This window comes from Homo sapiens, chromosome 5 (assembly GCF_000001405.40).
Source record: "Homo sapiens chromosome 5, GRCh38.p14 Primary Assembly".
Lineage (NCBI taxonomy): Eukaryota > Metazoa > Chordata > Mammalia > Primates > Hominidae > Homo > Homo sapiens.
In genome coordinates, this window is record NC_000005.10 from 82,058,728 (window position 1) to 82,070,944 (window position 12,217).

The window sequence follows — 12,217 nt, forward strand, 5'->3', positions numbered from 1 at the left end:
AAATAAAATACTTTAATTCTGTTAAGTAAATATTTTAAAAACTTCAAACTTCTTCCCACTGGAGAGAGATCCAATTGCCATTGGATCCTGGGCCTGTTGTAGGGGGAGAAGGAGGTATTTTCCTTTGTAATACTGAAAGCAAGAATTGTGGTAAAGTTATATAAGATCCACTCTGACTCCAGATTGTAGTGAGCCGTCATACTTTTGGTTTCTCTTGGACCTGAATACCACAGATGCCTTCTGTTGTCTATTGATTTTTTTTTCCAAGTAAAATTCCCTGAATATAGCCCTAGCCCCAGGCTGCTTAATACTTGATTGGAGACCTCTTTGCCTGCTCTGCCTTTAGCCCCTTTTCCCTTGAAAATATGCTGGATCTGGGTCTTATTCCTTAGGGGACTTTAACCTTGACTTGAAAATCTTGCTGAACCAAATTTTATTATGGTACTAATGACTGAGTGGTTTTCTGAGATATTTTCATTTTTCTTTTTATCGAAATGCAAATAGCCTTATTGTATTTCTTGTGAAAAAAATTGTATATACCCATTGTAAAAATAAATAATAGAGAAATATATAAAAAGGATTTAAAAATATCCCATATGTCCTTCAGTAGTTTACCACTGGTAACATTTTAGTAAGTATCCTTTCACATATTTCTATCATATACACACACACACACACACTTTTTTTTTTTTTTGCAATGAACAAGTATATCATGGACATCTTTCCATGTCAGTAAATGCAGATTTCCATAGTTCTCTTTAATGCCTCCATTGCATTCCATCCTATGGAAGCACCACAATTATATGGCACTCATTGAAATAAAATACTTGAATTTTGAAAGAGGATTGGTGAGGACCTAATTATTTCAGCACAAAAGAAGAAATCACTAGTGTTTGAATTCTGAGCATCCTGGGGAAATGAAAGAGGTGAATTTTTGTGTGTGTGCAGGAAGAACTGTTTCTCAGAACATGTTAAATCAGGCCCATTTGCCAATCAGACATCAGCCCCCTTGCCTGTATATGATGCTGGCCTGCAAGTAACTTTCACCTATTTATAATTAGGTTTGCAAGTTATTCTTGAGAGTATTGTGCTTGGTAATAAGCTAAGTGCCCCCAGATGGGTGCTTGAATCTTGATTACTGCTTCATGGTTCCAATAACCAACATCAAATTTGAAGCCAAGCATATTAGGAAGCTTTTCAATTCATTATATATTAACTTAAAAAAAGTTTTAAAAATTAACATAGAAATGGTGATTTTAAAAATGAATTACTAGTTTTTGCCTAACAAGTTGGCAGAGATTTGAAAAGCACTAAAAAGTGGTGTTGACAGTGTGAGGGAACTGACACTTTCTGGTTGATGTTTTAACTTCACAAAGTTTAAAGATGTGCACATACTATGAATAATCTAGTCCAATTCTAGGAATTTAGCCTCATAAAATATAATTTTTTTCAACATTTTTCATTTCCAACATTTTCCAATAAATTTGAAACATATGGAAAAATTGAAATAATTTTGCAGTGAATATCTATATACTTACCACCTAAAGTCTACCATTAACATTTTGCTGTGCTTGCTTTATTATATGTTGATCCCTCTGTCTATTAATACATCTTATTTTTTGATGCAATAATTTTAATAAAAGTAAATTGCACACAAATACTCATAAAATATTTGAGTACACAAAGATTTACCTGCAAGTATATGAGCCCTTATTTATAATAGGAAAAATGAAAACAATGGAAATATACAATAGTAATGGATTGGTTAATTATGGCACATCTCTAGATGGATACAGTCATTAGAAATGATATTCTAGGTGACTGTTTAATTACGCAGGTTAAAGGTTCATGTCGGCCGGGTGCGGTGGCTCAACGCCTGTAATACCAGTACTTTGAAAGGCCGAGGCAGGCGGATCACCTGAGCTTAGGAGTTCAAGACCAGCCTGGTCAACATGGTGAAACCCCCATCTCTACTAAAAATACAAAATTTAGCCAGGTGTGGGGGCTTGCGCCTATGGTCCTAGCTACTCGGGAGGCTGAGACAGGAGAATTGAGCCTGGGAGGTGGAGGTTGCAGTGAGCTGAGATTACATCATTGGTGGGTGACAGAGTGAGACCTTGTCTGGGAAAAAAAAAAAAGTTCATGTTAAGTGAAAAAAAGGTAGATTATGTGGTATAAACAATAGAATCCGAGTATGGTTAACATTCTTCAAACTACATTGACTATTACAATTTTAAATTATGATTCTTTTTAAAATTTATCTCTTCAAAGAGTGAAACCTATAACTCTTTTCTCTCACTCCCTTGAAATCCCTAAGGTTATTTTTGCTTGGTCCAGTGATTTCATTTGGAGTCACTATCCATCCTTGTAAGCTTCCATTACTGCTGTAGCTCTGGTAGGCATCCTTCTCTTTTTTTCCCAGGTAAGAGCAGAAGATTTTAACAGCAGAAGTTTAGAACAAGACAGCCCAGTACCCCATCTTTGTGTGTCTCCCAGCTTCCCCACCTCTCTATAGCAGAAACAGTAATTGGAAGATTACATATACATATACAAACATGTAATATTCACATAAGGCCTAGAAATAATTTCCCCCCTTCCAATCACATAAGATTTTCTTAGAATGTTTTTTTTTTCTTTTTCTTTACATTTATTCTTACTCTTTCTCTTCAGGAATTTGCTTTAAAAGTATATGTCCTTTATCTCTCCTTCTTGGTACTCCTCAGACTTATGCTTAGTGTTTTAAAAGCCAGATTGCTTCCTTAGACTGTAAACCCCATGGAGGTAAGATGACTCAATGAGTATCTGTTATTTGACTAAACCTTCAGGTTTAATTACCCATAGAACTAGCTCACTTAACAAATCAGATGCCTCTGTATTTTGATATAAACTGGATAATCTAGTGAATTACTTAGAATTGATTAATTATATGTGTATTATACATATATACTACATATACATAATGTATTATATATAATATATGTAATATAGTATATTATAAAAAAGTATGGGTGTATGTGTATATATGTGTATATACATATATATACATGTACACATATATATATATACGTATACATACATATACACACATACCTTTTTTTTTTTTTTTTTTTTTTTTACAGGCAGGGTCTTGCTCTGTCTCGCAGGCTGGAGTGCAGTGGCACAGTCAGTCATAGCTCACTGAATCATCTAATTCCTGGGCTCAAGTGATCCTCTCACCTCTGCCTCCCAAGTAGCTGGGACTGCAGGCATGCACCACCATGCCTAGCTGATTTAAGAATTTTTTTAGAGATGTGGATCTTGCTCTGTTGCCCGGGCTTGTCTCAAAGTCCTGGCCTCAAGTGTTCCTCTCTCCTCAGCTTCCCAAAGTGCTGAGATTACAGGCATGAGCCACTGTGTCCAGGCTGAATTCTAAAAGAGTTTATTTTCTACTAGAATAACATATTTTTTTTCAACAATCAATTTACATAGAAAAATCAACAATGTTTAAAAAGAGAGGTTTGCAGGGAGTTTTTAGTAGTTTGTGTTTCTGAGTTGTCACGGGAATGGAATCGGATGATAAACCCTTCATCTTCCAGTCAACTCCAGTGTTTTATTTTTAATATTTGGCAACTCATAGTAAATTTAGGCTGCCTAATTTACTCAGATTATAACAACAGCACAAGTAGAAGAAAGAGTGCTAGACTTGGAGATAGAAATTGTTTTGTAGTTCTCTTCGCCATTTACTAGTATTGTAACCTTGAGTAAACTTCAGTGTTCTCATTCAAACTGTGGGCCCTTCTTACTTCCTGTTTTGGTTGGATATAACAAGCGTACAGTGCTATTATTAATACTAATAATGTCACACTTATAATTATCTTTTTATGGTTATCTCATAATTATGCAAGAAGAAGCAGGATGTGAATGGAGAAACATGAAGGAGCAGGAAGAGAGCAGAGAATGTAACACTTCCTTTCTTTCCATATTCTATTCTTACCTTTAGACGTTGGGAATAATGAGTAGCCTCCAAGTTGGAAACTAACCCTTATTCAGCCACCACCACCAGTTATCTCAGAGAGTGGTACAGAGACAAGTGAGAGTGACTCTCACTAAAAAACAGTGGTAGACTAATTAGAGCATTTAAAGCATTCCATTTGAACTACATATATAATGTCTTACTTTCCTAGATCAACATTAGACAGAGATGTATTTTCCTCTTAAGTTCTCTCTTTCTTCATCATAGATTTGTTTATAACTTTTATTTAGTCAATAGTATAATTAGAGGTATGGCAATTTGAATTTTTTTAGTTTTTCATTTTAAAATACCTCAGATGGCCAGGTATGGTGGCTCACACCTGTAATCCCAGTGCTTCGTTATGCCAAGAGGGGAGGATTGCTTGAGGCCAGGAGTTTGAGATCAGCCTGGACAGTATAGTGAGACTCCATCACTACAAAAACAAGAAAAATTAGTTGGGCCTGGTGGCATGCACCTGTAGTCCTAGCTACTCTGGAGGCTGGGACAGACGGATTGCATAAGCCTGGGTGTTTGAGGTTACAGTGAGCTATGATCACAGCACTGCGCTCTATCTAATATGGGCAACAGAACAAGACTCTGTCTCAAAATAAAAACAAAAAAACCAAAAACAAAATACCTCAGAATTAATGTTTTATCTTAATAGATAGTACATTTGTGATACCAGTAGAAGATACTATGACAATTTAAGTGGAATGTAATTAGATAAGGAACAGCCATCTACTGTTTGTTTAAAAAATGCAATGAACTGCTAACAATTTTTTTTTTTTTTTTGAAATAGAGTCTCACTCTGTTGCCCAGGCTGGACTGCAGTGGTGTGATCTTGGCTCACTGCAACCTCTGCCTCCCAGGTTCAGGTGATTCTCCCGCCTCAGCCTCCCGAGTAGCTGGGATTACAGGCACCCATCATCATGCCTGGCTAATTTTTGTATTTTTGTAGAGACGGGATTTCACCATGTTGGCCAGGCTGGTCTCGAACTCCTGATCTGAGGTGATCTGCCCACCTTGGCCTCCCAAAGTGCTGGGATTACAGGCGTTGAGCCACCATGCCCGGCTGAACTGCTAACATTTTAAAAACTGAGACCTATCAGAGGGTAGAGGGTCAAAAGAGGGAGAGGATCAAGAAAAATAACTAATGGGTAATAGGCTTAATATCTGGGTGATGAAATAATCTGCACAACAGACTCCCATGACACAAATTTACCTGTGTAACAAACCTGAACATGTACCCTGAACTGAAAAGTTAAAAAAATTGAATAAGCAAATTTCATGAAAGGGATTGATTGTGCTCATGATAGATGAACTCAAAGAATAATCCTAATTTGTACAAATTATCAAATTTAGCTGTAAGTGATTTTACAGACTAGATTATCTATCATGAAAAATTATTGGTAGTTTTGTGATAATTAATAAGTTTTATAATCTTGTAAGCAACTGCATAAAACAACATTATTTTTCATTTCAACCATCGCTGATCAAAAGATACTTCAACTCTGCACTGAAGAGTGATAAATTCTTATTTTACTATGGTCCTTGGGATTCCAAAACAGGGTTTAGGTAAAATACATCATCTTTTGATCCTAAATATATGATGATCAAAAGTCTAAATTTTTTTTTTTTTACATTTTTCTTCTAAATTAGTTGTATTTGTAGATAGTTGAACAACCATACCAAAGATATGTAGATATGTGAATGGATATCAAACTTGAGGGAAGGGTTTTTGTGGAGTTAGAGAGTACTATTTGCTTAGCTCCCGATGTTTTTATTGGATGAAATATTAGATTAATTTTTTTTATCAATGACTTTAACAGGTTCTCTTTCAACACACATTTATGCCAGCATTAATGCCTTCATGTATTAACATTTTAATTCCCCCAAAATAATACTTATCATGGTCAATTACTTCTATTACATACCAGTTCATCTTACTAGTTGCTTTATTATCTTATTTAATCTTCAGAAAACTCTTATGACAATAGATATTAATATTAATATGGCAAATAAATGGATAAGATTAGTGAAGGTGGATAAAAACAGTTATAATAATAATAACAATAACAATATTATAATAAAGACAGCAGCCTAAGTTTATGGAGGACTAACTATAGGTACTGCACTAAGTGATTTGCATATATTAATTCATTTCAACTCATGATATTGATATCTTTATTCTCTTCACTTTATTATGAGGAAACTGAGACATGACACAAAGGTTAAACTTGCCTAAGGACAATAGCTAGGAAGTGATTATGTTCTGGCTTTTGTTAAGTTCTGGCTTTGGGAAACAGTAGTTCTTAAAAGTTAGTCATATTAATTAAGACATTTATTGAGAGTAGGTAGTATGATTTTGCATGTGACATTTCTGAATTTGTGAGATGAAAGTGAGATGCAGTTTTTGAACAAGATATTTTCTTTACCAGTGACCAACAGAAGTATGTTGCATCAATTTAAAATCCTCTAAATATAGGGCCGGGCGCAGTGACTCACGCCTGTAATCCCAGCACTTTGGGAGGCCGAGTCGGGGCGGATCACTTGAGGCTGTGAGTTTGAGACCAGCCTGGCCAACATGGTGAAACACCATCTCTACTAAAAAAATACAAAAATTAGCTGGGCGTGGTGGCAGGTGCCTGTAATCCTAGGGAGGCTGAGGCAGGAGAATTGCTTGAACCCAGGAGGCGGAGGTTGTAGTGAGCCGAGATTGCACCACTGCACTCCAGCCTGGGCGAGAGAGCAAGACATTGTCTCAAAAAAAAAAAAAATCCTAAAAATATAAATGAATAATTTCAACAGAAGCAAACATAATCGATGCTGGCTTGGGATATCTTATTTTATGTGACACTTATTTTCATAAATGGGTATTGATACTACCATATCACTTTATCAATTTATGATTTTTTTTGTATTTAATTGAAGACTTTTCTTAGAGAAATTGAGATATCATTTAATAGTAGTGAAAAACGTGATTTAACAATTGATCTACTTTAATAAACAGGAGCATATTGTCCTTATTGAAGCCTTATTTCTATACATGAAACGATAATTTACAAATAGAAGTGGGAACCAAGCCCTATACTTCAATTAGACAATTTTTGACGAAAATTAACCATTATTAACTCTTAAAATTTTTGTGGATATATTATTGCAAAATAGCTGCTAAACTTAAGTTTTTTTTTTAAGGTTCTAAATTAACTTACTGGCTAATGAAGACTAGAGAGACTAGAGTTGAGAAATAAGGTGTAAGTTTTTTTTAAAAAAATCGTGTCCAGCACTCATCCACTCAGTAAAAGGAAACAGTATCTAGTTAACTTAGATACTGATTTTTAATAATAAGTAGTAAAAATTATTAATGAATGCTCAGAAAGGGGAAATATCTGAAAGTATTTCCTATGTAACTCGTGTTCTAGCCAACATTGCTTTGTATTTTTTTGTCTCTAATGTCTTCATTTATGAAGTTTTGAGTCATTTTCCATAGAATAGAGATAACCTAGATTTTGTCTTTTGATTCACACAATTCAGCTACCTATACACACTGACTTTAAGTTGGTCAGTAATTTTTATATTATTGAAGTTTGTGTTCTGCTTGAAGTTCGATTACTGTAGTTCCTCATCCTTTTGCAGAGGTATCAGAGGTGGGTACCAAGCATATTTTATTTATCCATTTACTATCCTTATTACTTCAGAGCCTCAGGTTGCACCTTCAGATTACATTTTTAAAAACTATGAAAATGATAGAGTCATAAAAATGGCAATAATATACTAGTGGAAGAAAAGATTTTTGTCTTAGGGCCTTGTAGTTCACTAACTGGGATTTTCCTTAGACCAGGGCAGGTAGAATATTATAGAAAGTGAGGCCCTCGACAAAAAACAACCTATCATAAATTTCCTGAAGCATAAAACTGAGAATCAGTAACAGGAGATGATCTCAATTGCCAAGGAACATATTCAAAGAATGATGATCTTCTGAGGTAACCAGGCCTTGAAATACACTCATTTGCCCTAAGGATTTTATTAGGTGGCTTCTAGGATGAGTTCTATTTTATATGTCCAAAATAGACTCATATGTCAGAATATTTTTTTTATAATGGAATAAATGGTGAGCCACAGTTCTCAGTAAGCATTAACAATTTATCTGTAAAGCAACTGCTATTTTTGGACTGAACTATAGATGTATTGATAGATGTAAATGATGACTAAGAAGCATGATTACCTCTGTATTTGGGAATGTAATTTTAAAGCAGTGTTAAAATTCCAGGAAGTCTGTTATGTTTAATGTGCATAGATGCAAATGGAAGCATGTGGAGTAGTCAGTATTTATTTATTGAATGAATGAATCTAATGCTGACAGATAAATGGATTTTTAAAGGAAATAACTGTGAATGTAGCAGACCCCAATCCCACTTTTGTGTTTTACTTAAGATATTATTAAAGGGTTCAAAGACAAATTAAAATGTAATTTAATTTAAAGTGTAAGTGTATGCTATATAGTAGTGTGGTCTGTGAGAGGGGAGAGTATGGAATATTCTGAAAACCAGTCATGTCAGATTAGGATCTTTAATTCCAGTAAAACTGGGGATTATTGCACTAAATATACTATTTATTATACAAACTATATTTTTTTAACTAGTATATAACAAAAGTGTTTGTTTACTCATTCTTGAAACTAATCAGAAAGCAACATGTAGAGATGCGGCACTGAAACTATTTGAACCATCTAATGAAATTTGTGACTTAGGGGATCTTAAAGCAGTTTAGTGTTCTGCTATAAAGCCAGGAGTCTTAGATAGAGGCAGGGCCTTGCTTCATATTCTGCTGAATCTTCTTTTTACTTTAAGCCCTTGGTACCTGAGTAATAGCACTTTGCAAAATTCAGAGTGTGTTAGGTTCAGTAAGAGTCTGTAACCTAAATGGCTTCTTAAGGTTACTTCTATCTTTGAAATTGTCTGTGCTATATTCTCCTTGGCAAAGCAAAAAGAAAATCTACTTTTTGAAATAAATCAAGTTGACTAAATATACATAGGTAACTAATTCTCTTTTTATGTATTAAGCTAGTAGAAAAGCCTTTGTAAAGATACGTGCCACAGCCATTGTATTTTAACTCAGCAGTAAGTTATATCAGAAAGTTTTCTTTACATATAGTTGTAATTTTGAGGTATTTTTTTAAAAATCAAAAGTAAGATCATTTCTAGCAGCAGCTGTATACTTAAGAGGATACTGAGCTGATGTTTCTGTACAAAAATCGGACAGGCTTTCATTGTGGAGCATTTATGTCCAATTGTAAAGGTCTAACTTAGGAAGCAGTTGTTTCAGAGGAGGGCCATTTAATACATTATTTTAATTGCCCTAATTATACATTTTCCCCATTTCTTTTAATGAATTTGGGATGCTTTTCATAGCAAAGACTTGGAACCAACCTAAATGCCCATCAACGATAGACTGGATAAAGAAAATGTGGCACATATATACCATGGAATACTATGCAGCCATAAAAAGGATGAGTTCATGTCCTTTGCAGGGACACGGACGAAGCTGGAAACCATCATTCTCAGCAAACTAACACAGAAACAGAAAACCAAACACCAAATGTTCTCACTCATAAATGGGAGTTGAACAATGAGAATACATGGACACAGGGAGGGGAACATAACACACCAGGGCCTGTCATAGGATTGGGGGAGAGGGGAAGGATAGCATTAGGAGAAATACCTAATGTAGATGACAGGTTGATGGGTGCAGCAAACCACCATTTCACATGTATAACTGTGTAACAAACCTGCACATTCTGCATTCTGCACATGTATCCCAGAACTTAAAGTATATATATAATTCTTATCTGAAAAAAAAAAAGACACTTAATAGATTGTTGGGGGTTTCAAACTTTAGGTGGCTCTTTTTTCATGAAGAATTTCTGAGGAAGATATGTTGACTTTATAACCGAATCTAAACTTAAATATATATATATATCTTATATATATATCAAGTATATATATATATAATCAAATTTCAACTTAAAGTATATATATATATAATTCTTATCTGAAAAAAAAGACAATAGGTTGTTGGGGGTTTCAAACTTTAGGTGGCTCTTTTTTCATGAAGAATTTCTGAGGAAGATATGTTGACTTTATAATCGAATCTAAAATAAATGAAAGTGAAACCACTACTTAGAACTCTTTTCTGCCCCTTTGATTTTTTTTTTTTTGAAGCCAGTAGAAACTCCATATGTGGAGGGAGATACGTTACTTAGAACATATTACAGTAAGATTTGATCTCACAAAAGATTAAGTAGAATCTAAAATTTGAGTTTTCAAAATTATTTTATTAAGTATATTTACAATTTTATTCCTTAGTTAAAAAGATTAATTTAAAAATACTTTATGGAATGAAGGGAATTCCCATTAGCATAATTTTCTATGGAGGGCTCAAAAACAATCTTCTCATATATCCTAAAGGAATTCATTGTTGAAGTAGCAATGTAGAATCTCATGATATGAATGGCAAGCTTCAGATATTAAAATGATTGTTGAATTTTTTTGGTAGCTTGAATGAGATTGACTACTTGTCTGGATTTTTTTTTAACTGTTGGGTAAAGACTAACCATTGCATAGAGTATCATTTTTACATAAAATCATTGGCCAGAACAATGGCTTATATAGCCCCTGATATTTCATCCACTAATACCTGAAATGCTCACTATGAAAGAGACTTTATTAAAAATGCAGATGAATTATTTTGGGAAAAGGGAACAAAACATTTTCAAACTGGAATAGTGGTTCTGAACCCTGTGACTGGACTCTAAGCTCTGACTTGGTTAGATCACTTCCATCACAACTGTGTCCTTAGCATTTAGCACAGTGCCTGGCACATAAATGCCAGAAACTGATATCGCTTGTCTCTTGATTTTTCTGGGTTAGAACTATCTAGAATTTCTTCTCTCCTCAATATACTGCGAACTTAACTAAAAGTCAGCAATATTAGTATAAATATTTTGTCATTATCAGTTTATTATCTATTTTATTAAAGGATACTTATTAAATAAAGTGGCCAGGAATAATTTGTTAAAGTTTATTTCTGAATTTATGTGCTTAAGGGCAAATAATAATTTTACCTTAAAGCAAAAGGAAATAACCAAGGATTGCATTGTTAAAGGTTTTCAAAAGGGAGACATCAAAGTGTTTTAACAATATTGTTTTTGATTGCATAAATGTGATATGGGAACTTCAATAATGCTCTTCCATATGGTGCCTGCGAATTTGCTGTTTTGGATTGTTTGCTCTTAGCAAGTATAAGTCTTACGTATTTGTGATAAGCATTGAGAGAAGCTTCATGCAGTTCAAGCTAACCTCATAGGAGCCTTAGGATAGAGATTACATGTTTGTCTCAGCTACAGTTCAGAATGCATTGAAAAGACCCAGGAAGGCTGTCAAGTTGGCAATGGCACCTAAAGGCTGTCCCGATGGATGCCTGAGAAAATGCATTTTTTGGTCAGTGAATGGGAGGGTACAACAGCCTGGCAGACTAAATCTCGTCTCTATGCTCCAATTGCTCAACTTTAGCTTATTTTGAAGGAAAAGAAAAGTAGTAATCTGGAAGGGACAAGATATTTTTAGATAAGATTATTAAAATGACTATTGGCTATTCTGAAATAACATTATTAATTGTTCTCTTTCCAATAAGTATTTGTGAAGCATTTCACCCTCAGCCTTCCTTTAAGTTTTTTAGATATGAAAAAGAAGGGGAAAAATATCAATGTAACAATTATCTTAAACTCTGAAATTCTTCTCTCTGTCCACAACTTCCTTATTTTCAACTGTATTTATGCTTCTCTCTGAACATTCTTTGTATATTCTTTTTGTCTCAAGGTCCTCAATGACATCAGTCCTCTTTTATTTCTCTTGCTTTCTTACTTAGTCTTGACCTTGGCTACTTCAGCAATGCCCACAACAGTACCTAGGTTCCATGTCCCTTGGCTGTATGCTTCATGTTACACCTCTATTGCCACTTCCCAATCCTCTTTTACAATCCCCTCTGTCTTCTTTCTTTCACTCCCAGGTTTTGTGAATAAGTAATCTATAGTACCTGGACTTTTTCGTTATTTGTTCCAACTTCAACTCTTTTTCTTTTGGCTTCTACCAAAATCAAGCTATGGAAATTGCTTCCTTCTAAGTTACTAGTTACCTTACAATCACCACATCTAATGGCTTCATCTTT

The 12,217-nt window shown here is 34.4% G+C and overlaps 1 protein-coding gene across 13 annotated transcripts in view; it reads left to right on the top strand.

Moving 5' to 3' along the window:
- ATG10 (autophagy related 10) overlaps window positions 1-12,217 on the top strand; it is a 284,111-nt gene that overhangs the window by 86,705 nt on the left and 185,189 nt on the right. The gene's annotated exons all lie outside the window — the stretch shown is intronic.